General features: G+C 42.2%; 1 protein-coding gene across 8 annotated transcripts in view, besides 3 other annotated features; it reads right to left on the bottom strand.

The window, feature by feature from the left end:
- The window catches only part of PRKCA (protein kinase C alpha), a 508131-nt gene that overhangs the window by 324719 nt on the left and 155574 nt on the right, over window positions 1-27838 (bottom strand). The gene's annotated exons all lie outside the window — the stretch shown is intronic.
- Window positions 1713-1782: an enhancer, noted in NCBI's record as "active region_12614". NCBI's record gives its function as "activates an Ori minimal core promoter by ATAC-STARR-seq in GM12878 lymphoblastoid cells {active_cell/tissue: GM12878}" and the evidence as "EXISTENCE:reporter gene assay evidence [ECO:0000049][PMID:35858748]".
- Window positions 18720-19014: a silencer, noted in NCBI's record as "tiled region #12581; HepG2 Repressive non-DNase unmatched - State 5:Enh". NCBI's record gives its function as "represses a minimal TATA promoter and a strong SV40 promoter by Sharpr-MPRA in HepG2 cells {active_cell/tissue: HepG2}" and the evidence as "EXISTENCE:reporter gene assay evidence [ECO:0000049][PMID:27701403]".
- Window positions 22680-22974: a silencer, noted in NCBI's record as "tiled region #4299; HepG2 Repressive non-DNase unmatched - State 6:EnhF, and K562 Repressive DNase matched - State 5:Enh". NCBI's record gives its function as "represses a minimal TATA promoter and a strong SV40 promoter by Sharpr-MPRA in HepG2 and K562 cells {active_cell/tissue: HepG2 | K562}" and the evidence as "EXISTENCE:reporter gene assay evidence [ECO:0000049][PMID:27701403]".

Here is a 27838-nt window from a genome sequence, read left to right as displayed (position 1 = left end):
ACAAGCTTCATGTCTGAACATCCAAAACCCAGTGTGCATGTCAGGTTTCCTCATTTTGACCCTAAAAAATAATCATTGCAACACGTTCTATACAAGGGTTTATCATGACTCTAATACCAAACTTCTCTCTGCAATATTTTTAAGGTTTTTATTTTTCAGTCTGGAATTACTTAAACTGGGGTTTGAGTGTGAGTTGCAAGGAGCTAAGGAGGCTGGACTCGGCTTTGGGACTGTATGCTCTGCCTTCTCTCCTCTCTCTTGCCTTCAGTCCAAGGCCTCCTCAGTGTAGTGGAACAGGACTTGTTTCCCCTGCTTCAATGTCACTCACATCTATAAGCATGTAGGTCTGCCGGCAGTATGGACATCTGAGACTGCAATCTCTTTCTTCAGCAAAATGTGTAGCACTTTAAGCTTCACAGCAACCCCAATCTTCTCCCAAATGGCAGGCAAAACAAAGTGTGGCTCCAGAATTCTGAGAGGATGGAAGGTAGTCAAAATACTCAGAACTCAGGCTTCGATTCTCACGTAATGCAAATGAAGAATGAGCTCTCACAGCATGGATGAAACCTCTCTCCCTCGCTAAGGGCATAAGCACTCAGCACGTTAGGACAGTCCTGCTTCTTGGCAGGGTTGCAGAAATGCTACACGGGATCTAAATGTGAGAGAAAATATCCTGAAAACTGCGAGAAGCAATGTACCTTTCAGGATCTTTTTATTTCTTTTGTCTTACCTCTAGAGCTAAATGTGGTGTATTTTTCTGAGCATGTCTCTGTATCTTTCTATGCAAGGTTTTGGGGGAGCATCGTTCATTCTTTTATTCATTCAATTATTCAGCAAATGTTTACTGATGTACACTTACTATACACCAATTCCCTATAAGGTATGAAGGTAACTGGGGGACCAAGACACAGTTTCTGCCCTCAAGGAGCTCAGAGTTTAGTTAGGGAGGGAAACGTGGTAGGGAGGGAAACATGTAAAGGAGCTGGTGTCTCTCACATCCTCTCTCTTCCCAACCCCACCCTCCCCACTCCTCCTTTATCTCCTGCTTTTCCTTCTTTAAATTCATTACAATGTAAAAGCCAAGGTGTATGTCCTAATACTTATCATTAAGTAGTTTTACCTTTCTCCTCAATTTCAACAGTGAGAAAGTATGACATTACATTTCTCTAACTTAAAAAAAATTATACAAGTGAAATAACAGGATATCTGCAATTCCTTAATAAGACTCCAGCAAGAAAAATATGTGGAGAGAAGATGGATGAAACAAGATTGGTAATAGTTGACAATTATTAAAGTTGCAAGAAGAGTATATGGTTTTTATTATACTATTCTCTCTGCTTTTCCAGATATATGAAAATGTACATAATAAAAAGCTAAAACATAAATACATTAGTTAGATTGGATTTTACAAATGTGGTCAAACTCTTTTTCTCCATTAGCTGAAGAACATTGGGAAATTATTGAATCAGTATGGACAAAGAGCTGGTCAGAAAAAATAAGAAACCTGGGAAATAAGTTACTTTTATATGACATATGTCAAAAACAATCCCCCAAATTATTTCATATAATTTAGGATCTGACAACAATCACCTTTCTCAATAGTCTCTGATCATACACTCAATGCAATTTACTATTATTTCTACCCATCTCTCCTACACAGAATTGGCAAATAAAAATGTCATCTGATTATTTCAGGTATTAGCTACACTCTTAGGGGTTGAACTGTGATATGGTTTGGCTGTGTCTCCACCCAAATCTCATCTTGAATTGTAGCTCAAATAATTCCCACGTGTTGTGGGAGGGGCCCAGTGGGAGACAACTGAATCATGGGAGTGCTTTCCCCCATACTGTTCTCGTCGTAGTGAGTAAGTCTCACGAGATTCAACAGTTTTACAAGGGGTTTCCCCTTTCGCTTGGCTCTCCTTCTCTTTCTTGCCTGACACCATGTAAGGCGAGACTTTCACCTTCTGCCATGATTGTGAGGCCTCCCCAGCCATGCAGAACTAACTGTGAGCCCATTAAACTTTTTTTTTCTTAATAAATTACCTAGTCTCGGGTATCTCTTTATCAGCAGCATGAAAACGGACTAATACAAACTATCCCCATAAAATTCATGTTGATGTTCTAGCTTCTAGTACCTCAGAATGTGATCTGACTTGGAAAAAGGGCTGCTGCAGATATAATTAGAGAAGATGGGGTCACACTGGCATAAGGTAAGGCCTCTAATCCAATATGACTGGCATCCTTACAAAAAAGGGAAATTTGGGCTGGGTGCGGTGGCTCACTCCTGTAATCCCAGCACTTTGGAGGCCAAGGCGGGTGGATCACGAGGTCAGGAGATTGAGAACATCCTGGATAACACAGTGAAACCCTGTCTCTACTAAAAATACAAAAATTAGCTGGGAGAGGTGGTGAGCACCTGTAGTCCCAGCTATTTGGGAGGCTGAGGCAGGAGAATGGTGTTAACTGGGAGGTGGAGCTTGCAGGGAGCTGAGACTGCACCACCACACTCCACAGCCTGGGCGACAGAGACTCTGTCTCGAAAAAATAAAATAAAATAAAATAAAATAAAAATAAAGGCAAGGGGAAATTTGGACATAAACACACCCTGGGAGAACTCATGTGAAGATGGAGAAAGACTGGGGTGATGCTTCTGCTTCTGCAAGCCAAGGAATGCCAAAGATTGCCGGGAAACCACCAGAAGCCAGGGGGAGTCATGGAACAGATTCTCTCTTGCAGCTCTCTGAGGGAACCCACCCTGCCAGCATCCAGCCTTTGGAACTGAGGCAACACACTTTCGTTGTTTAAGCTGCCCGGTTTGTGGTAATTTGTTATGACAGCCCTAACAAACTAATACATGCAACAAGGTGGTTTTTGGAAAGCAAATGATTCAGTAAGTGAAAATTAAGTACTATGAACAAGAGCAAGTGGTTCGGGATTCAAGGCATTCTTCCCCGACAGCTCTACGGGACAGCACATCTGTGTCTGTTAAAAATACCGAGGGTACCTTTAAGTCCAAAGCAGTAAAGAGCTATTACCAAACTAATGAATTAGGGTCCTGTGAATACTTCCACGGGGAGAAATAAAGGCATACAAAGATTACAGGTGAGCATAAGTGAAAAAGTTATTTAAACCTAAATCACAATTAGGAAATAGAAGTTGCCAAATTCAAAAACATCTGAGGCATTAGTATAGACTCATTTGCTCATGATTATAAATGAGTTTAACACAGTCAGAACTCTTGAGGGGTTAAATATATTACTTTAATCCAAAGTCCAATTTAAAATCATTGCCTTTGTATGTGTGTGTTCTGCTTAATACACCTGCTGGTACCTGCCGTTGTAATCATACAATGACCACATACAAGTGATGCTTGCTGGCTGGTGAAAGTACTTTCTTGATCTTTAGTGGTGAGATAAGAATGTGGGTTCCCACACAAATAATATACAGCCACACAGAAAATGAACACTTGGAATCTTCACCTCGTACTCAGTGAAGTAACCTGTAGCATTCCTTTTTGTGAAGAACATTCCTAATTTAAAAGGTAGTAAAGATCACTGAGAGTCTGAGAATGAACTTCAGAAAGAATCCACTGGAAGGGTTTTGAAGCTATGATCCCTGAAGGACTCTAGGTGGGCACTGGAAGGGGTGAGCAGCGAGTGAGCTCATGATTCTTCCTTACCTCTGTTCTTCTCTTTGGGTCCTAAGCTACAGTTTTATTCTGAAGTCAATGATTGCATGCCCTAAGTTCCATGAGGAGCCATCATCCTTAGCACATATTTGTTTATTAAACAAGCCAGTTGATTGCAAACTCAAGGGCAAGGCCTTGCAAGACCCACATGTATCCTTCTAGTCTTTGCAATTTCATAATTCATACTCGATCCACTTTCTTTTTTTTCTTTTTTTCTTTTTTTTTTTTTTTTTTTGAGACAGTCTTGCTCTGTCGCCCAGGCTGGAGTACAATGGCGCGATTTTGGCTCACTGCAACCTCCGCCTCCCAGGTTCAAGTGATTCTCCTGCCTCAGCCTCCCACACAGCTGGGATTACAGGTGCCCACCACCGCACCCAGCTAATTTTTGTATTTTTAGTAGAGATGGGGTTTCACCATGTTGGCCAGGCTAGTCTTGAACTCCCGACCTTGTGATCCACCCACCTCTGCCTCCCAAAGTGCTGGGATTATAGGCATGAGCCACCACACCCAGCCCCAACCCACTTTCAAAATAGAGTTGTATGTTTGTCCATTGGTCACTCCTTCCACAGACACGCATGAAGCTCCTAGTTGAAGGCCAGAAAGTCTGGCAGGCCTGGGAGGACTACATGAAGCCCAGTCCCTTCAGGTATCTGCCTAGAAGAGATGCTGGAGACCTCGAATGCAATTTCAAAAAAGATGGTGTGGGGAGAACCAGAATTCCTTGCTCATAGTGCTGGAGGGGTGACAAGAGGAGTTGGCCAAACCTCAGAGACAGGCCTAGGAGAGAGGCGAGCAGAGAGCAGGAGCCCCGACATCCAACAGGGGGAAACGTTTCAGGAAGGAGGAAGTATTCAATCGTGTCACTCTTACATGAAATCAGGAAGGAGCTGACTGGGGCAAGTCTATTAGGCCTGGGACTGAAGAGTCGTTGTCATATATATACAGGGGTTGGCAGGAATGTAGACACACAGTGGATAGGGAGTACTCGGTTCACTTACCTTCTGGTCAACAAATATTTATCGAGCAATAGCTACATCCCAGATATGGTGCTGGGCCCTGGTGGTTGTAAAGATCAACTTCGCTCAGGGGCCCCCCTGGAGCTTTTAGTTTGGAAAAGAGTCACTAAGAGAACATTTCAGGATCATACAAGTGGAGGAAGGTCTTGCCAATGTAAGGTGTGAGTGCCTGGGGAATAGCCCTCAGCCCAGCCTTGAGTTCAGGGAAGACTTGTGGCAGAAATGACGCTAGTGCTGAGAATGAAAAAGGACAGCAGATCCAGGGACTTCTCCCCACCAAGACAGGCAGCCATCTGGCAGCGTTCTGCGGTAACACCTATGTAAAATTATGGAAAGAGGCTTGGGCCACCTCATGCAAACTATGGAGACGGAGTAGGTCAAAGGAAAATCAAGCACCGGGGGAAGGAACGCAATTCACATTGACCAAGAAAACGTTACCTTCAGCCATGGTTCACTGAAGGAAAGTAGGAAGCTGAAGCTGTTCCAAATATTTTACTAAACACTCTCATTTAAGAATTCAGTGCTTTTTTTTTTTTAAGCCATATAATTACAAAGCTCCTGTGGGTGAGGGAAAAAGCATTTCATATTTAATGTTCTGGTTTGGCTTTGGTTTCAATCAATGGTGGAATGGCCATAGAACAGTCTCAGAACAGAAAAGAGGGTATTCAAGTTTGGTTAGAAAGGCAGGGCACGGTACAAGTAAACACAGTACAATGTTTCTTCTGAAATCTGAGGCCACCATAATGCAGTGGCAATTTTTAATTCTTAGAGACAAATACATGCGGAAACTTTCCATAAATAAAATGCTTTCATTTTCTCATGATTACAGTGAGCTTTTGCGACAAAGCCTGGTCACATTATTATGTAAATTTTTACCCATGTAACATTTCCCTCTGCTTATCTTGGGGAACAATTCAAAAAGAAGCCATAATACACTAATTACCTCTCTTATATCAAGTATGTTGGGAACTAATAAAACATCAGGGACGTGGAACACCACATAATTACAAAGGAATGGGGCCAGGAGCCTCCAAAAAGGAAATCTGAAGGCGTCCAAGGGATTCTAATGCCCATGGGTAACAGTGGAGAGCAACTGGGGAAAAACACGAGACAAAGGAACTAGGAAAGTCTCCATACAAAGAAGGATATGAAGGCATAGAAGCACCCACAAATTTTAAAAACTAAAGAAAAATCTTACAAAACAAATATATTACCTTTCCAAACTGCATGCCAGAAAATATAAGACAAAATGAATTTAAAAATAAATATGATGAATTGTTATTCAGAATTCTAAAACCAAAATGTTTTTTTTTTTTTTTAAGTTCAGGGGTATCTATGCAGGTTATATGGGTAAACTTGTGTCATGGGGGTTTGCTGTACAGATTGTTTCAACACCCAGATATGAAGCCATGTACCCTTGAGTTATTTTTCCTGATCCTCTCCCTCTTCTCACCCTCCACCTTCTGACAGGCCTCACTGTGTGTTGTTCCCCTCTGTGTGTCCATGTGTTCTCATTGTTTAGCTGTCACTTATAAGTGAGAACGTGCAGTATTTGGTTTTCTGTTCCTGTGTTAGTTTGGTAAGGATAATTGCCTCCAGCTCCATCCATTTCCCTGCAAAGGACATGATCTCGTTCCTTTTTATGGCTGCATAGTATTCCATGGTGTATATGTACCACATTTTCTTTATCCAGTCTATCATTGATGGGAATTTAGGTTAATTCCATGTCTTTCCTATTGTGAATAGTGTTGCAATGAACATATGTGTGCATGTGTCTTTATAACAGAACAATTTATATTCCTTTGGGTATATACCTAGCCATGGGATTGCTGGGTCAAATGGCAGTTCTGCTTTTAGCTCTTTGAAGAATGGCCATACTGTCTTGCACAATGGTTGAACTAATTTACATTTCCACCATAAGTGTAAAAGTGTTCCTTTTTCTCCACAACCTCACCAGCATCTAATATTTTTTGACTTTTTAGTAATAGCTATTCTGACTGGTGTGAGATGGTATTTTGTTTGATTTGCATTTCTCTAATGATCAGTGATGTTGAGTGTTTTTTCATGATTGTTGGTTGTATGTATATCTTCTTTTGAAAAGTGTCTTTTCATGTCTTTGCCCACTTTTTTGGGGGGTTGTTTTTTTCTTGTAAATTTAAGTTCCTTATAGATGTTGGATATTAGATCTTTGCTGAATGCATAGCTTGCAAAAATTTTCTCCCATTCTGTAGGTTGTTTACTCGGTTGATAGTTTCTTTTGCTGTGAAGAAGCTGTTAAGTTTAATTAGATGCCATTTGTCAATTTTTGCTTTTGTCGCAATTGCTTTTGGCGTCTTCGTCATGAAATCTTTGCCCATGCCTATGTCCTCAATGGTGTTGCCTAGGTTGTCTTCCAGAGTTTTTACAGTAAACCAAAATGGTTTTTAATCTACACTTATACACAGTGCTTCAAAAAACTTATATTTAACAATAATCATGATGTGGGGCTATTTACTGTTTTAAAAATACTGTAAGTTGTTGCAAGAGAAAAAGTCTATAAGGACACAGACCAACGTGATACGGGGCTGTCTCTAGGGCAGTGTTTGGGAAAATTTAATTTTACTTTTATTTTTGTTCATCTATATTCTCTAATTTTTTCAACCATTAATGTATTACTTAAGAAACTAAAAATCTTAACTTTAGAGCAATGTTCATAACAATGCTATTGCAATGCAAGATCCTAAAGTGTTTTATGAATTATCATTTAAAAAATAAGTTGAATATGGGCTGGGCGCGGTGGTCCATGCCTGTAATCCCAACACTTCAGAAGGCCAAGGTGGGTGGATCACCTGAGGTCAGGAGTTCAAGACCAGCCTGACCAACATGGTGAAACCCCGTCTCTACTAAAAATACAAAATTAGCCAGGTGTGGTGGCACATGGCTGTAATCTCAGCAACTCGGGAGGCTGAGGCAGGAGAATCACTTGAACCCAGAAGGCGGAGATTGCGGTGAGCTGCGATTGTGCCACTGCACTCCAGTCTGGGCAACAAGAGTGAAACTCCATCTCAAAAAAATAAAATAAAATAAACAAACAAAAAAAGCAGATTCACGGAGCTAGAGGAATGCACAAGTGACTATTCCTCTACTCCCTCTCACATGTGAACAGCTGATGAAAAACTGAAAAGAATGCAACTCTCTGCCTCTTATCTACCAACACCTTTTACAATTTCTTCCTCCTTCCCCTTTAAACATTGAAGCACTCAAAATCATCTTTGGCGAAAAGCACAGACCTGTCTCCTGGGCGCACGTCCTTAACCTTGGCAAAATAAACTTCTAAATTGATTGAGACACGTTTCGGGTACTTTTTGGTTTAGAGAGGGAACAACTAAGTTGGTAAAGCTAGGTCAAACAAGAATTAGAGTCCACCAATAAATACATCCGAAAGAAGTCTGCCCAGTTAGAGAATGGGGAGTAACTGCTAACAGGTTTCTTTCTGGGGCAATGAGAATGTTCTAAAAAGGACTGTGCCGATGGTTACACAACTCTGAAATTACTAGAAACCCCTGAAGTGTACACTTTAAATGGGTGAATTGTACATTACGTGAATTATATTACAAAGCTGTGTTTGTTTTTTGTTTTGAGACGGAGTCTCACTCTGTTGCCCAGGCTGGAGTGCAGTGGTGCAATCTCAGCTCACCACAACCTCCGTCTCCCAGGTTCAAGCAATTCTCCTGCCTCAGCCTCCCAAGTAGCTAGGACTACAGGTGCCCGCCACCACGCTCGGCTAATTTTTGTATTTTTAGTAGAGACGGGGTTTCACCGTGTTGGCCAGGCTTGTCTCAAACTCCTGACTTCAGGTGGTCCGCCCGCCTCAGTCTCCCAAAGTGCTGGGATTACAGGTATGAGCCACCGCGCTCGGCCACAAAGTTGTTATTTTTTAAAAGTTAAAAACAAAGCCAGGTATGACACCCTAAACAAATAACCCTTGGGTAGGCTTGTTAAGCAACGCCCCTGGCTAACATTTGAAGAACTACATGCTGCTGTTACGTTTATGCCTTATTTCCAAATTTTAAATAATTTTTCTTAACATTAACATGATATTTTTATTCCTTTTGAAGTTTCTGTGGGTTTCGCTTTGTGCTAAATGTTCTGGTCTAAGCATGGATCTTTGAAATGGCTGTATCCGTGGGCATTTATGTTTCCCAAGTGGTTTCTAATGGGCCAGAGTTTAGCATGAAGCCCCTCGTCCTGGTAGGGTGGGTGGGACAGTGCCCTGTGTCCTCATCTGCACACCCCTATTCTCCAGCTGCATGACCTTGGGTATGTGAAGCTCTCATTCTCAACTGTTTCCGACTCTAAAATGGAAATTAGCATCACCAGCCTTGCAGGATTGTTAAGGACAGACAGGATGATGTACGTGAAGCTTCAGCCTAGCTCTGAGACACAGTACCCACTCTACAAGTAATTCCTCTTCTCTTTCTCCAGATTGAAGGGAAAGCAAATTTATAAAAAGTACAGGTCTTTTAACAGGACTCCAAAATTATTGGGAACTTGCAACAAGACTGAGGGAAAGGAAATGTGGCGTATTTTTAAATGAAGAAAAAGAGAATCCAACTAACAAGAAGGTCAATGATTAGAAGAACAGGCAAGCCTGAGCCTCAGGCAACTGTAGCCTACACAGGCCAGTGAGGGGAGAAGTTTCCTCTTTATTTACTATAAAGAGAAAACATACAAAGAAATCCAATGGCCACTTCTAGGCTGAGAGGTAATGGCAGAGAACCAGAGCTTGTGCCTCTCATAACCTTCTTCCCCGGCCCTCCCAGTTCCACCCAAAGGCCAGGCTCTGGCAGGATTAGACCAGACAGGGCCTTGGCTGGCATTCTCTCGGGGCTCCTCACGGCCTCCCTCTGAGCCCAAGCTCTTCCGTAAATCGGGAAACCCAGCTTGACCAGGACAGTGGCAGGAAGTGCTGTGCAGCAGGGAGGCAACATGCCCCCAAGCACCAGGCTTGCAGAGCTTGGGCCCGCCATCTCCTCTTCAACACCAACTGAAGGCCCTCAAAGTGTGACCACGTACATCTAAAGGTAGAAAAGGTAGCAGAAACCAGAGCCCCTTCCAGTCCAAGAGTAGAAGAAAATTGGCTGGGCATGGTGACTCACACCTGTAATCCCAGCACTGTGGGAGGCCGAGGCAGGCGAATCACTTGAGGTCAGGAGTTCAAGACCAGCCTAGCCAACATAGCAAAACTCTGCCTCTACTAAAAATACAAAAAAATTAGCCAGGCCTGGTGGCAGGCACGTGTAATCCCAACTACTTGGGAGGCTGAAGCATGAGAATCACTTGAACCTGGGAGGCAGAGGTTGCAAGTGAGCAGAGATCGCACCACTGTGTTCCAGCCTGGGCGACAGAGCAAGACTCCATCTCAAAAAATAAAAACTAAAAAATAAGAAGAAAATCAGGTATAATAGTATTTAAAAAGGACCCCTCACAATTAGGGAGGAAAATCTTCATTGACTGCAATCAAAATCTCTCGTTCCACAATTATGTGTGATGGCACTCAGTCCCCTGGGCATTAATCAGTTCCTACAATGTGCAATTAGCTGTATCTGTAAGACACAGGTATCAAGAAGACCTTCTGACAAGTACCCAAGATAAAAGGTATCCGCATTAAATGTGAGCTGACAGGGGGATTGGTTTAGGAGAGGTAACAGGCTGCTATGAGGCTTCATTTTCCATACCTCGATGCCGAACTCACACAAGGCAAATGTCTCAAATGGGAAATGGGAAGCTGGGAAAGACAGTACACATCCTGCATGGCTAAATTAGAAACCAACAGGAAAATCCAAAACTGGACCAAGCTAATAGCGATCAAGACTCCACTGAGTAATAAGGATCATTCGAAAATCCCCATACCTAGCTTCAAAACTACAGAAATGCAGATCGACAGCACCACAGATGAAAAGACTGAGGCATTTTAACAAACACATTAATGAGGTGCCATGGCTGCCAAAAGAGCTACTAGGAGAAGAGACTGCATTAACAGAGGTATATTATCTAGGATGGAGGAGGTGAGAGTTCCATACAACAAATCTTTATTCACTCCTCCTGAGACACGGTTCAGGGTTCCAAGCCCTCACTGTTGTGGTTGCAGCCTCTCTCTGGCATAAGTTTTCCAACAAGAGAATGAAACTGGAAACCACTTCCTAAGAGGAGTAGGGGATTCACCTGAAAGGGAAGACAGCTTGCAACTTAGCTGTCTGCAAATACCTGAAGACCTGATATTTGCCAGAAGGATTAAGCTTGTTCTGTTTGTCCCTGAAGGATGGAAATCCTGCAGAAACAAAGGGTGGAGGTTACAGGGTATCAGATTTCAGCTCACTTTCAGAGAGAAAGATGTAAGGTCTACCTGGAAATGGAGAAGAGAGGACTGAGTGGTCACCAGAGCTGTTGCTGCTGCAGATCCTGCATAACTGCTCCATGTGAATACTGGTGAAAGCATCCACATACTCTACACGACCGAGGTTACGCGCAACACACAAACCTTTTTCTACATCCATCCTGAATCCTAAAACTACCGAATTCAACCACATTGAGAAAAAGCTTTAGTTGTTGTTAATAATTACTTTAAGTTGAGGAAATGGGCTTCCGGTATAATAAAACACAGCCAAAGGATTCTTCAGAAGAAGAAAAGACAGAGAGCGCTTTATTTCAGGCAAGTGCAATATCTGCAGCACATTTTACAGCTGAAGGTGGAATATGGATCTTGAAGCAGCAAACTTGGTCCTTTTCCATTGGATTCATTACAATGATTAAACTCTTCTGGAGCCCTAAGCACACTGCCACCCTCAGCCATTTTGCAAGAGTGTAGCTTAAAAGTGTGCTTTTCCAATTTGCATAACAATAGCAGCCTTCCAGCTAGGCTGACTCCTCTTCCCAGCAAATGTATATAGATACAACATTGTCTGGGCATCAGGCAGGAGAGCTCCTTAGCCAGCAGCCCAGGGTCCCCATCAATTTTTAAAGCTCTTGTTCATGCATGCACATATACAAGAAAACAGAGACAATGTCACTGGAAAGTTCTGAGCATGTCAATAGCACCATCGGTGTTATTGGGTTCCTCCCCATCTGGGTGTGTTGCTGCAGAAGAATAGGTTAAATTGTATAATGTTAGGTCACTTGAACTTGATAGGTCCCATGAGAAAATAAGGATCAACGATAAGAGTAATAGTCTTCATAATACTGATGGTATTAATAATCTTCTTCATAAATGATTTTATTTATTAAGGATGAGAAAGAGTGATGTGGCAAGAAGTAGTAAATTGCAAAGTCACACAGTTCATATGTGTGAGACTGAGCTTGAATCCTGACGGTCTGGCTTGAGCTTTTTTGTTTTTTTTTGAGATGGAGTTTCACTCTTGTTGCCCAGAACCAGACTGGAGTGCAATGGCGTGATCTCGGCTCACCGCAACCTCTGCCTTCCTGGTTCAAGCGATTCTCCTGCCTCAGCCTCCCGAGTAGCTAGGATTACAGGCATGTGCCACCATGCCCAGCTGATTTTGTATTTTTAGTAGAGACGGGGTTTCACCATGTTGGTCAGGCTGGTCTTGAACTCCTGACCTCAGGTGATTCACCCACCTCGGCCTCCCAAAGTGCTGGGATTACAGGGGTGTTGGCTTGAGTTTCTACCAAAACACTAGCTGCTAGACACTATACTCCTTAATAGTAGCTACTGCAGTTATCATTTTGGATGGTGCCGCAGTTATCATGATGCTCTCATTTTCTCTACCAACACACTTGAACAACAGTAGAATGGGAAAGGCTGTTCTGAGGGACTCTGGTAACTGAGGGTCTAGGCTGCAAGACACCCTCTTCCTGAAGGGAGGCTGTTACAAGGGAAGGGCTGGAGTCCAGGTGTGAAGGCAGAGTCTGAAATGGGCACAGCGGCTCCAGCTGAAAGGAAGAGATGGGTAGGAGAGTGTTTCATGTGAGCAAGCCAGGGCGAGTCCGTGCAATCCACATGCATGTGAAGGGGTAAGCAAGGTACTGGGGAAACACAGAGATTGAGGCCAATCCCAGAGACTGAGAATCCTGGCCCAGGGCAGAGGGAGCAGGTACAAGCACCAGAGCTACAAAGACCCAAAGTCTAGGTCAAAGGAGTGAGCTACCGGGGGAGGCAGCCCGCTGCAGAGTCAGGTAAAAATATGCAATACTGGAGCAGGAGAAGAAGGAGGAATGGGGGAATGGGGGAGTGGGGGAGTGGAGGAGGAGAGGTGGCTGCAGGGCATGGGGCAATTCCTCCATAATGGTAGCTCCTGTGGTTATTATTTTTGGTGGTGCTACAGTTACGATGATGCTCTAAATTTCTCTACCATGCTCTGGACAACAAGCCATGCTTAAGGGCTCTGACTAAAGTCTGGCAGAGAACAAAGGCTGCCTCATTCACCTCCACAAATTAGGCAAGTTCGGTCGGAGGCAAAAAAAGCTATGGTCTCTTTCAAAGGCACTGATTTCTCTGAAAATGGAAAAATGACCTATAGTCATTTCCCATGGAACTCGAGATTCTCCTGCTACTTTATATGTGGGATCCTCACATAATCCCAAAAGATCTTTTCCAAAAGCCTCCTTTGCAAGAAGGTGGCTCAGCAGAGGTGGGCATTTGTGGGCTAAAGGCAGGAAAGGGATGTTACGTCTTGTTAATTTGAAGATATTCACTCCAAGTGACTTCACATCAACTCTGCTGACTCTTCACTTCTATTTTGGCAACTGAGCATTAAACCCAGGAAGGAACTATGAGGTCAATTTTGTGGAAATACCTGATGATGGATTTCTGTTCCCTTGATAAAAACAGAGAAAATTGGAGAAATGCTAATAGGATTCACAGGCTGTAAGTAATGACTGAGACAATTTCCACCACTACCATCAACGAGCCAACCCAGGGACACCTGTGCAGAGGCGGGTGGGCTGTGAGCAGACAGGACTTCCTTTTCCTAGCGATAGCAGCTCCTGGAACCAGAAGACAAAGGTCAAGATGTCTAGAAGGTACCACTCCCTCTTCTTGGTCTCCATGGAGGTTGCCTCATTGGTTATAGTAAAACTTAGGCTATGTGTGATGGTCCACGCCTGTAATCCCAGCACTTTGGGAGGCTGAAGCCAGAGGACCACTCCTGGGCAACATAGCAAGACTTCATCTTTGCAGAAATTTAAAAAATTAGCCAGGTGCAGTGGTGCAAGCCTGTAATCCTAGCTACTCTGAAGGCTGAGGCAGGAAAGGACTGCTTGAGCCCAGGAGTTCCAGGCTGCAGTGATCTATGATGGAGCCACTGCATTCCTGCCCGGGCAACACAGCGAAACCATGTCCTTAAAAACAAAAAGAAATTAAACTTGATCAAACTGATTGGTCAAATTTTGAATCTTCTGCTTCTAAATATTTTATAGTACTTAAATATGCATTTGCCCGGCCCCACCCACATGGTTCACAGTGACCCTGAAGGCAAGTCACTTCTCACAGCCAAATACGACTTCACTGCAACTTGTCATGAAAGCAGGCAGGCATGGGATGAAGGGCAGCACAGTAATAAAGGTAACCCTCTGCGGATTTGATAAGTCAGATTCATTTCTCACTCTTCAGCCCATTTTTAAAAAGTAACTTTCACTGTTGCTTTATATCCCAGATGCAAAAAAAAAAAAAAAAAATTAGAAAACAGTCCATTCAATTTTCCAAATTAGTCAGACTCACCTGTTTGAAAATGTGTTTTACATTTGCTCTCCCCTAAAATCATGGAGGGCTGCAAAATGCAGTTCTGCTCAGTGATGACTACTTTTCCTTGTGGACTATACTGTCTATAACACACTGTTGCAACTCAATTCCACTCAGGATACCTTCAGTGGTTACCTATTCTGTGCCAGACACTGGCCTCTATGAGATGAATAACCTGAGGGACTTCACAAGCTAATTAGCAGACAGACACAACGCACATCCAACAATGATAAATGCTCTCTTAGAAGTACAAGTTGTCAGTTGCAGTTAAAATCTATGGCATTGCCAGAGAACACAGTTCAAAGTATATTTGATATGCAAGAGTATCCAATCTTTCTTTGTGATGTATCACTTACTGAATGCCACCAACATAAAATAAACTTTGCTCTGATGAATGCTACTTATAGAACAAAATTGAGGAAATGCAATATTAGGTCATCAAATGCTAAATTAATCTGAAGTTTCAGGAATGAGAGAATATGTCCTAAATGAAGCTAAAGCTCTTGTATGTATTCTCATGCAACTTGCAGAGCACTTTGTAGAAGTACAATTAAAAAAAAAACTAAACTAAAAAAAAAAAAAAGTTCCCAAATACAGGCCAAAAATAAGGAAAGGCTAAGAAAAGGGCATATTTCTTTTCTCACTTGAGATATAACCTAGAGGGCTTTCTAATTATACACACTCTTAGTTGGAGATGCTAGTTGTCGTCTAATCAGCCTACAAGGGCGGAAGCCGATTTGAAGATCACTTTTCAAGTTTTAATTCACTCTGTTTCCTCTTTGACTCAAGTGGTTAAACATTTGTTTCAGAGTTGCATCTCATTGCCTCTGCTCGTCCCCCTAATAATTAAATCCTAGAATGTCAAGTCCTTCAAGACCCTTTCAAAAGGGCAATTCTTGGTATTGAAACGAAGGGCTGACTGTGCCCTTTAAGTCTGAACTGCATTGACACGTGGGGAATTACCATATCTGCACAGATCAGGTCCCTAAAGCCAGGCCGGGCCAGGTAGCTCTAAGTGCCCTTCAGTCTCTGCCCTGTAAAAAATGCAAACTGGGGCCGGGCGCGGTGACTCAAGCCTGTAATCCCAGCACTTTGGGAGGCCGAGGCGGGTGGATCACCTGAGGTCAGGAGTTCGAGACCAGCCTGGCCAACATGGTGAAACCCCGTTTCTACTAAAAATACAAAAATAGACGGGCATGGTGGCGGGGGGTGCCTGTAATCCCAGCTACGTGAGAGGCTGAGGCAGGAGAATCGCTTGAACCAGGTTGGCGGGGGTGGGGGTTGGGGAGGGGGGGTGGCAGAGGTTACAGTGAACCGAGATTGTGCCACTTGACTCCAGCCTGGGCCAAAGAGCAAAACTCTGTCTTTTAAAAAAAAAAAAAAAAAAAAAAGCAAACTGGTTCAGGTCCATTAAGCATCAGCTCTGAAATATGTCAGGGGAATCTCCTTCATGTGACCCTGAGGTTTCATTTCTGTGGCCTCTTCCTGGGACATGCAGCCAAGTCATGTTGTTATTTTCCCACTAAAAAAAAAAGTAGTGAATGTACACAGCATGCCACAACGGACACATATTGGGGGTAATTACCCCTTGGAAGGGTTAACTTTCTAAATCATCTCTGACCTTCCTAATAAAACGCTAACCCAACTGTTTCCTTCGCAGTGCTCTAAGTTTGTGGATACTCACTGGATCCTAGAGGTTTATGTTTCCTCTAAGACTCTGGCCATTGGCCCTGGGTACTTCTGATTTACTTCCAAAGTTTCTCTCCTAAAAAAAACATAAATACCCCCACTTAGGGGCTGGGAGACTTAACCCAATTGATTGTGTTCGCACTTCAGAAAAAAACAACTCAAAGCTTAAGTATTTGCAGACAGCTTTTTGTCCTACTTGCAAATGTTTCCTCAATAATACAAGTGACAGAATTAGGCAATGTGCTAGGGAGGAAGATAATTTAATGTAAAATGTCCTTTACAAGGTATCACATGCTAGTAAATCCCAATCTACAAAATTAATTATAAACCCACAAAAATTACATAGAATAGTAATGAATTGCTCAGATACCTAGAAAGATGGACTTTCTTTTTTAAATTAAGACCATTTTCACCAAAGTGCTATATTGTGGTTGTCACGTGATTGACGGGTGTTTGTTTTCAATATTATTTATTTCTATCTTATTTCCCCCAATGAGCATATGTCACTAAAAGTTTTGTTTTGTTTTGTTTTTAAGAAACACAGCACCCCTCATATTTACTCCTACACTAAACAAATAATCACTCAGGCTACAGAGCAGCAAAAAAGAATGGCAGGAATGTGTTCCAAGCAAGCCTTTGCAAAATGATAGCAGGGCACCTTTCTCTTTAGCAGATTTGTGGATCACAACTAAATGACAGCTCTGGCTGGGGGTAGAGGAGGGTGCCCCAGTGTTCTCGAGATGGTGAACGACTGGAATGTGGACAGAAAGAGGAAGGAAACTGTGGCCATGGAGCCTCGTTTGCATTTCGAGGGAATAAGGCATCTGTAGGGGAAGGGGAACTAAGTGGAGCCCGGCAGAGACTTTAAATGCCATTCTCAGAGTCCATGGCCTTCTTGGCTCTGACTAGAAAGTCTACAGTTGAAAGTGGTGGCCCAGAAGGGAACTGGGCTGAGCTACTTCCCTTCAACATTTCTGCTGGGAAGACAGCATTCAAAGCAGAACCTTCAGGGGAAATAGAGAGGATTGCAAAATAGAGAGGAATGATGGGTAATTTCTGGAGGTGAGAGGAAGTGGTGAATGGGAATCTGGGTTTCTCCTGCATGCCAGCCACAACTTCTGTTTCTCTTCAGTTTCATTCATGTTAGCTCTCGCCCCTCCCACTTTCCCACCCTCCACCCTCCTTCAGAAGTCCTTTACCTGTGCGCTCTTGCCCTAATGCTGCCATAGTTAGCTGGTTTCAGACCACACCTTCCATTTAGAGACCTCAGACAACCCTGGGCATTTACTCCAGGTCAGCTTCCTATTGAAAAGCATACAAATATGTTGGGAACAAGAGGCAAAAACAGAAGGGTGCCCATGTTTCTCAGCCAGATAGGATCTGTCAGTTATAATAGGGTTGGACCTTAGGAAAAACATGAATTATGACTTGCCAGGAAAAAAAATGCATGTGCAGGAACAAGTCAGTCAGCTGACTACAAACTGCTGCACCAAGATAGCAAATGTGTGCCTCCCACAGCCAGCGACCCAGTCAGCCCACACAAATGAGGACAGAGTCCTCAGTGACAGAGACACCCTGTGATGTTGCTGCAAGAGTGTGCATCTTGATTCAGACAAGTTCATTTCAAAAAATATTTTTCACCTGTATATCTTTTTAAATAGGTAAATACACAGCACAGACCCAGATAAAGGAAAAAGTCATTCTGTAGTTTTCATTTCTTTAAGCCAAAATGTCGAATGGAAAATATGTGCTTTTTGACAAATGTAGCTTTATCATTTCAGAGACATCGTATCTTCACTTTGTATTTTAGTTGCATAGAAGAAATAAAGAAGCATCAAAATGATACCCCACTGCTCCTGGAAACAGCTAATGAGGAGTTCCTAAACTAAGAGTCATTTCTGTCAAACACGAGGAAAGTGGAACTATCAGCAAGGAAAGATAACTTGTTAGTCATATAAATGCTCCTGGGAGCCATGAAAAGTTTTCTGTTGTTTTTTTTTTTAATTTTTTGTTTTTGTTTTTTAAGTACAACCAAGGCCAGACGCAGTGGCTCATACCTGTAATCCTAGCACTTTGGAAGGCCAAGGCGTGGGGATCGCTTGAGCCCAGAAGTTCAAGACAAGCCTGAGCAACATAGTGAGACCCCATCTCCACAAAAAATTAAAAAATTAGCTAGGCATACTAGCATGCACCTGTGGTCCCAGCTACTCAGGAGGTTGAAGCAGGAGGATCGCTTGAGCCCAGGAGTTTGAGGCTGTGGTGAGCCAAGATGGTGCCACTGCACTCCAGCCTGGGTGACACAGTGAGACTGTCAAAAACAAACAAAAATGTACAAACAAAATTTCATTCTAATTTTTAAAAGCACTAGAGCAGGTACTATTGGTGATAGGGCTGTTTTTCTGCAAAAAAAAATGTGTTTGCCCAGCTAAACAAGCATTTTGTTCACAATGAAAACTAAGCTATTATTTAGTCAAAAGCCATCATTTACAGATGAGGAAACTGAGGCAGTTTACCTTAAATCAGCCAGTTATAGCACATTATGTATAGTAACTGCTGAGGTTAGCTACACGACATCTGGCTACATAGCATGAAATGAGAGTACAGCTGACATCACTCCGTTCATACACTTTGGAATTCCTGAGATTTAACCACTCATGGTATTGGAATGTACCATGCCATGGCCTAAATGAGAGCCTGTAAGCCACGATACAAACCAAAAGATCTTTGCACACCACCTCCTGCGCATGAGGCAACATGCACAGTCATCCCTCTCTAAGATGCTCAGAGGAAGAGGAAAATAATGTGTTGAACAACAGCCATCTCTGTCGTGTGTGTTTGCAGGGCAACGAAGCCATCAGCAAACATCTTTTCATAGTAGGTTCAGTTTGAATATGAGCATCATTTTGCTTTCATTTTCAAATTTTCTTGCTACAAGGAAAAGTGAATCATTCCATAGTTTCAAATGCCAGTCACAAATTTAAACTGAGGGCATGAGTAATTTAAGTCTTTTTTTTTTTTAAATGAAGGAAGAGGTCACAAGTCAAACATCCACGTGGACTTCCCTTCTTTGACCCCAGCGTGAAGGAATTCGCAGGTTAAAGGCTTTTACTGCTAATCTTAGCACCACTGTTATTCCCACTTCTCTTTAGAAATAAAGTCAATTTTATTAAAAGCTGAAGTTTCAAGTTTTTGTGCATTACACCAAAAATTTAATAAAGAAAAGAACGATGTTTAGATTTTATGTGGAATACTTATCAATTCTTAACAGCACAGACTCCATCTTTGATTATTTTTAAATGTTCAGTGTGGCCAAATTATGTTAAATGGTATTTTGCCAAGAAGTTTCTTCCATTTTGAGGTAAGGAGAAGAAAACGTGGAGGAAGAGAAAGTCACTTGTTGCTCAGTGGGAACCACTTTGCAGAATAATTCTGACCCCCATCTCAGCTCCACAAGCAAGTTCCCAGAAAGGGCTTCCCAAGGCCCGTGGCTTGTGAGCAGTGCAGGTGGCCTCAAACGCAGGGCTCCCTGGGTCTGGCTTCAAACTCTTCCAGCTGGGACACCTGGGACCAAGCTCTACTTCCCCCAGCTCAGTTCCCATTAGATGCTTCCTCCACCCACACACAAATTCTTTCCACACGTGCAGTTCATGTTCCAAAATTTCATTCACCGACTACAGAAAAAAGGTACAGGCGTCTAGAGTGAGGAGATCCAGACCCATCCTCGTGCTTCGACATATTTCAGTGACTTCTTAAAATTCTCAGTATTGGGCTCTGCACACAGCAGCTATGTAACAAAACAGCTGCTGGTGCACTTGGATGTAAAATGCTTCTCTGTTTCTTCTCAATATAATGGAACTAAGAATGATTTCCTATGTCAGAGAACTATATAGCCCTACAGAAGAACAGCTTTTGACTTATTGCTGAGATTACATTAGGCTATACAAACTGAGTTATCCATGTGAAGAAACTCCTTTAAAAAAAAAAGTCAAATCTTACACAATAAGAAAGAAAGTACATGCAAATAAACAACTCCAAAAAGCATTTAAAATGTTACTGGCCTCAATAAATTTCCTTGCTTGGGTGGAAAGAGGTTGTGGAATGGGGATGGTTGTCTCTTCGAATTAAAGCTACCTTTGTTCATAATACCAACTTTTCTCTCTATGCAGATCTACTGTTAGAATTAAAACATATCAGGCCAGGCACAGTGGCTCCCCTCTGTAATCTCAACACTTTTGAGGGGCCAAGGTGGGAGGACTGCTCAAGCTCAGGAGTGTGAGACCAGCTTGGACAACACAGCAAGACTTCATCTCTACTTAAAAAAAAAAAAAAATTAACTAGCCAGGCATGGTGGCACATGCCTTTAGTCCCAGCTACTCAGGAGACTGAGGTGGGAGGATCTCTTGAGCCCAGGAGTTTGAGGCTGCTGTGAACCATGATCACACCACTGCACTCCAGTCTGGGCAAGAGAGTAAGACCTATCTCAAAAATTAAAAAAAATTAAAAAATAATTATAACATATCAGTTGACAAATTCCTTCCAGATATACCATTATGATAAGTCAAATTTAAGAATTACCCGATGCTATCAGTTTCTTAGGGAAGTCTTGAAACAAAATTCCCTTTCCCACAAAACAAATCTCGTTTACAAAACAGCTCATAGGACTAAAGTTCTGGATAGACATAAAAGATAAATTAAAGGATTAGTCCTTCCTATTCTGCAAATGTTAAGTTGTGGTTATTAAGGCTATGGGGGTTGGCCTAGTCAAAGAGTTTCCTAGTCATTCATTTATTTACTTAAGTTATTGCTTATGTCACTGGTAAAGAAACAAACTATGTTTCTACCAAGAAACAAAAACCACCAATCCCTTTGTATTTAATTAAAAAAACCAAAACACAAAATTGTAAAACTCTACAAAATAACAAAGGAGAAAGATCTAGATGACCTTGGGTTTGGCAATAACGTTTTAGATACAATACCAAAGGCCAAAGGAGCAATCCATGAAAAAATAATTGGTAAGCTGGATTTCATTATAATTAAAAACTTCTGCTCTGCAAAAGACACTGTCAAAAGAATCAGAAGATATTATAGGCTGGGAGAAAATATTGCAAAAAATAAATCTGATAAAGAAGTATTATACAAAATATACAAATAACTCTTAAAATTCAGCAATAGGAAAACAAACAGCCCAATTAAAAATGGGCACAAGACCAGATATCTCACCAAAGAAGATGTACAGATGGCAAATATGCATGTGAAAAGATGCTCAATATAATATGTCATTAGGGATCTGCAAATTAAAGCAATGAGATACCACTACACACCTATTAGAATGGCCAAAATCCAAAACACTGACAACACCAAACGCTGACAAGGATGTGGACCAATGAGATCTCTCATTCATTGCTGGAGGGCAAGCAAAATGGTACAGCCACTTTGGAAGACAGTTTGGCAGTTTCTTAAAAAACTAAACATATTCTTTCCATTTTACCCCACAATTGCAGTGGGTCATATATTTACCCAAATGAGTTTAAAATGTATGAAAACCTGCACACGGATGTTTATGGCAGCCTTCTTCATAATTGCCCCAAACTTGAAAGCAACCCAGACGCCCTTCAGTAGGTGAATGGATAAACTGCGGTGCATCCAGATGATAGAATCTTATTTAGCACTAAACAGAAATGAGCCATCCAGCCACGAAAAGACATAGAAAAAACATAAATGCATATTGCTAAGTGTAAGAAGCCAATCTGAAAAGGTTACATGCTGCAGGATTCCAAATACATGACATCCTGAAAAAGGCAAAACCATGGAGACAATAGAAGGATCAATGGATGCTAAGGGTTGGAAGAAAAAGGGATCTTCTATTGGTGGAGCATAGAAGATCTTTAGGGCAGTGAAAATATACCTTGCATGATACTAGAATAGTAGCTGTATATGATGATACATTTGTCACAACTCACAGAAGATACACCAAGAATGAACTCTTCCATAAACTGTGGACTTTGGGTGATAATAATGTCAATGCAGCTTAATCAACTGCAATGAATGGACCACTCTGGTGAGGGATGATGACAGTGGGGATGCTGTGCAGGCACAGAGAAATGAGGTACATGGGAAATCTCTGTATCTTCTGCTCAGTTTTGCTGGGAACCTAAAACTGCTCTAAAAAATAAATTAAAAAAACAAAACAAACAAACTAGCTGGGCACAGTGGCTCATGCCTGCAATCCCAGCACTTTGGGAGGCCAAGGCAGGCAGATCATGAGGTCAGGAGATCGAGACCAACCTGGCTAACATGGTGAAACCCCATCTCTACTAAAAATACAAAAAATTAGCTGGGCATGGTGGCACATGCCTGTAATCTCAGCTACTTGGGAGGCTGAGGCAGGAGAATCGCTTGAGCTTGGGAGGCGGAGGTTGCAGTGAGCCGAGATCATGCCACTGCACTCCAGCTTGGGCGACAGAGCAAAACTTCGTCTCAAAAAAATAAAAAAATTTAAAAAAAAAAAAACACAGAATCAAGGCTAAGAATTTCACCATACAAAATCAAATTCCTGGGTAGCTGCAAGTTTGCTCAGTTAACTCGTGTAGTTCAAGTGACTTAACTCACATAGTTCAAGTGACTCAGCTAGTCACTAGATCTTTTCTTACGGTTTCAGAGAAAAGTCAGCAAAAACTGCACATTATACAGGGCGACAGGCATGGCAGCAGTTTCTGGTGCACATGTTGCCTGTCTCCCGGTGACAGAAGATAACAGAGGACTAAGAGCGCACATATACCTCAAGAGCCCTAAGGCTGCCACAGGAGAGTAAACAACTCCACCCAGCACTGCTCCAGGCCGGGTAAGCCAACCTCTCTGGAGTCTGCAGGCTTACAATTGATTCTGGGGAAATAATTTATTATGATTGCCAGTCAGTGACTCATAAATGTGTGTGTGTGTGTGTGTGTGTGTGTGTGTGTGTGTGTGTTTGCATGTGTGCACGTGCATGTGTGTGCATGTCTTTGTAATTCTTCTTCCACATCCTTCAATTATTTTCTAAGCACCAACAGTAAACTTCTGGGCTACTTTTAATAAGAGATTCTTATTCTCTGCAGGAGGACATTTCATTCCTCTTAGCTATGACATATTCAACATTTTTATAGAAAGCAAAAACCATAGGTGGGAGGTAGGGGTGTTCGTGTTTTTGTAAATTGCCTCTAAAGAAGCTGCCACCATTGGTGGGGAAGACCTATATCATGGCTTACAAAAAAGTATCCTAAAATGGACATAAGCACTATTCATGTGCTTCAGTAGATTAAAAAAGATGGTTGGTGTCTTTTATCTATTTTGAGAAAGAAACAAATTTATACAATGAAAACGTTCACAGAAACTAGATGTAAGGTTGTAAAAATAAATAAGTACCTTGCTTTCTTATACAATAAGACATTCAAGTATTAGAAAAATGGAACTGCTACATGGGAAGTAATTATTATGTTAAGGCAAACTTTAGCTATTAGATGCCTTTTTTCTTCTCTCATTAAGCACAACCATCAACTTTTCATGAGCGGGCCCACTGGCTGCTGTCTGGAATGAAGAATCCTATGTTGCTTTCCAGCCTCACATTTCCCCTTTGTGTACTACAAAATAGGAGCTGTTTCATTAGAAACATAAAACAATGAGGAAGAAGCTGTTATTGACAAACTGGGTTTGGCCTTGTGCACTGATCTCAGAAACCGCAGAGCACCAGCCAGCTTCCATCCATGAAGGGATTTGTCTGTCCAACTTGAGTTCAAACAGAGGGAAGCAGACCCGACGTTTAAAAGAATATATCACACACCCTCTGCCCACAACCAAGGTCTCATCTTAGAAGTGATGAAAATAGAGGGTCAAAAAAGAAAAAACTAGACACTGTTCACGGAAACAGGAAACACCTCAATGACATCCCATAGAAGCATGCTCGGTAGTTAGGAACCCCAGTCTCCTCCTCGGTAGTTAGGAACCCCAGTCTCCTCCTCGGTAGTTAGGAACCCCAGTCTCCTCCTCGATAGTTAGGAACCCCAGTGCCTATACACCCATTATCTCAGGGGTCAATTATTTCAATTACTTCACACTCCAGCTGCCAATTAACTCATGGGCCACCATGAAACCCACAGAATGCCTCTATGCCAAGAAGGTTCTCAAGTATCTGCTATCATAATATAAACCTAAGTGCCCAGTGAATACTGTTTTTCTATTACAAATTGATCTTTGGATACATTTCCCCAGAAAATGTTACATCATTTTTACCACTTAGTGCCTACCTAGCACGCGAGCTCTCTGAGCTTCACTTGCTGCAACACAAAATAAGCACAGAATTAGGAGATAACTAGGGGAATTATCATAGCACTGAAATCTGAGGTCATTTCCTCATTTTTGAATACTGGAAAATGAAGGATATTTGAAACTGTTCACCACAACTCAGGTGACACGGGCACTCCACTATAGAACATCTCACTATTGCTAAAAATTACATACCTGTGCTTAAATGTGCCAATGACATATGCTGGTTGAGACTGATCAAAACAAGTCTGGAAGAAGTCTGGTTAGAAGAACAGGTTTTTTTACATACAGATAACATGTTAGCAACTTGAATATTAAATTTGGCACATGAACTTTTAAAAGTATTAGGATTGGGATGTGATTTTCTTTTCTTTTTTTTTTTTTTTTTTGAGATGGGGTCTCATTTTTTCACCCAGCCTGGAGTGCAGTGACGTGAACATAGCGTACCGCAGCCTCGAATTCCTGGGCTCAAGCAATTCTCCTGCCTCATTCCCCTGAGTAGCTGGAACTACAGGCGTGTACTATCACACCCGGCTAATCTTTGTATTTTTTGTAGAGATGGGGTTTTGCCTTGTCGCCCAGGCTGGTCTCCAACTCCTGGGCTCAAATGATCCACCCGCCTCAACCTCCCAAAGTGCTGGGATTACAGGCGTGAGCCATCATGCCCATCTGGGATGTGCTTTTCTAAGGAAGAAACAGACACAACAAGACAACCTCAGAGAAGGTGGCTCCACATACTGATGTTTTATAAACCTGTGTCTGCGACCAACCTCTGGGGTAGGAGCTGGGACACCTGAAGTCTTCAGTCCCCGCTTTGCTAGCCTTACCGTTTCCTGCCTGTCAAATAATGGGGACGCAGTTCTGCTTCCACAGCAAAGGAGACACTAAGCTGCTGGTCTGCCCCATCAGCTGGCAGGTTGGCACAAAACCCAGCAACATTCAAAGGTGCAATTCAGCTGGTTCTCCAACTAGGAGGGCAAGACAAGGTTTTATCCCACTAAAACGTAATGAGCAGCAGAGGCCAGCTATAGAGTGATTTTAGTTCTTCTCCCTGTCTGCACTGCTGCAATTCGGAAAAAATAAAAACGCACAAAACACCAAAAAAGTAGTGTGAGAAATGGGGGTAAAGGATGAAAGGGGTGGACTTACAGGAGGTGGCACGCCTTCGCTTATCAACCCTGGATATTAAGTATGCCTTTTCCCCCCTCTATCAAATGCAAACCCTTTCACATACTTTGAGTTTTAAAACTAGTTAAAATCTGAAGGAGCTATTTTTAAAATATACATAATCATATAGTAATAGTAAGAACCACGACTTCAGCCATATGGATCATACACACACAGCCCACATACCATTCAACTCTGCTAGGCACTTCTAAGTCCACGGGCAATGACCTTCATAGATTTCATAGGCGGAATTCAATACCTTGCGTAATAATTGAAGTTACAAATGCCCAGTCCGTTAGACTTACTTAGAAAAAAACAACACAACTCTGTGGGCTTCCTATTTCAAAAGCTGTGTGGGCAAGGAGCAGAAAGCAAAGGTTAATTTTGCAAAAGAAATCAACTTTGCAAGAAAGGCTTGCATCCAGTGAGCGGGATGGAAAACTGCTTTCATGAATGATTCATCCTTCGAGACTGCGGATGGATTACTCAAGGCCTGCTGATGTGGCCCTTCCTGCACATGTACCATGTAACCCTGACAAACACCAGCTGGGAGGCCACATCCCTTCTCACTTGGAAGTACTAAAAAATAAAAATAAAAATAAAAGTAAAAAGATCAGAAAGCAGTAGAGAGTGATACTTACGCACTGAACGAAAAAGAGCAACAATGCCCCAAAATAATTACTTACTTAAAAGCACCCCCGATGGAGTCGGGTCTATAAACACAGTAACGATAAAGAGAAAAGCCTCCCAGTGTGCAACCATGGGTCTCTCTTTGCTGCTTAATAACAGCAAGGAAGAACTGGACATAGAACTTAGCTCTCAAATCAAGCGGAATCTCATTTATCTGGCACTTTTAGAGAGCAAGGTGTTCCACCAGAAGAATTTTCCAGAAAATAGAAATTTGCCCCACATTTACAAAACTTTAAAAATAATTCTAACCATTCATATTTCTGAGGGATTCTACTATATACTTTTTTACCTTCTTCAACGGAGGTAGAGAATCTAATTTGATCTTTCAGTGCGTATTCATCATGTGTTTTGTTTTGTTGTTGTTATCGTAGTTCCGTCATCCAGGCTGGAGTGCAATAACATGATCATGGCTCCGTGCAGCCTCAACTTCCCAGGCTCAATTGATCCTCCTGCCTCAGCCTCCTGAGTAGCTGGGACTACAGGTGTGTACCACCACCTCCAGCTAATTTTTGTATTTTTTTTTTTTTTTTTGAGACAGGGATTTGCCAGATGGCCCAGGCTGGACTTGAACTCCTGGGCTGAAGCAATCCACCCACCTCAATCTCCCAAAGTGTTAGGATTACAGGCGTAAGCCAGTGTGCTCAATCATTATCCCTTTTTTTTTTACTTAACAATACCTGAGTGTGTTCCTTAGTGGTTCAAATCCCAACTCCATTACTTCATAGCAGGGTAAACTTAATCAAGTTACTTTACCTCCCTCAGCCTCTACGTTCCCATCTGTAAAATGGGGATAACATGCACCATGTCAAGTGGTTGGCACACAGTTAGCATTTAACAAATGTTACTTCTCTCCTTCCCCCTTTTGCCTTTGCTTTCTCCAATGACGTACTGGGAAGGTCGGTAACCAAATGTGTAAGGAATATTACAGTAAGACAATTCTCAGAAGATTCTGAAAGGGGCAGGGCACGGTGGCTCACGCCTGTAATCCCAGCAGTTTAGGAGGCTGAGGTGGGCGGACCACCTGAGCTCAGGAGTTTGAGACCAACCTGGCCAACATGGTGAAACCCCACCTCTACTAAAAATACAAAAATTAGCTGGGCGTGGTGGTGCATGCCTGTAGTCTCAGCTACTTGGGAGGCTGAAGCAAGAGGATTGCTTGAGCCCAGGAAGTGGAGGTTGTAGTGAGCTGAGAGTGCACCACTACACTCCAGCCTGGGCGACAGAATAGAAACCCCGTCTCAAAAAAAAAAAGGAAAATAAAGAGATAAAAAAGAAGACAAACCTGAAAGGATCTTCAAGGCACCCTAGCAGTGTTGCATATTCTACTGGGGGGTCTTAAGACCCCTGTGTCCATTTTTGTTTAACTCCAGCGTCTAGGCTGTGTTCCAGGAAGCTGTAGACTTTTTGTACCTTACTTCAAGGTTTTAGATATAACTTTATTTCAATGGCCTAAATAGAAAGCAGATTAATTGACATAGCAACTACAAGATCCTGACAAAAGAAGGAATGCCTCACTGGCTGATTCTGCGAAATAGGCTTTCTTTCATGTTC

This window comes from Homo sapiens, chromosome 17 (assembly GCF_000001405.40).
Source record: "Homo sapiens chromosome 17, GRCh38.p14 Primary Assembly".
Lineage (NCBI taxonomy): Eukaryota > Metazoa > Chordata > Mammalia > Primates > Hominidae > Homo > Homo sapiens.
Note: the sequence above shows the minus strand (reverse complement) of the source record. Positions and strands in the feature narration are given on the sequence as shown.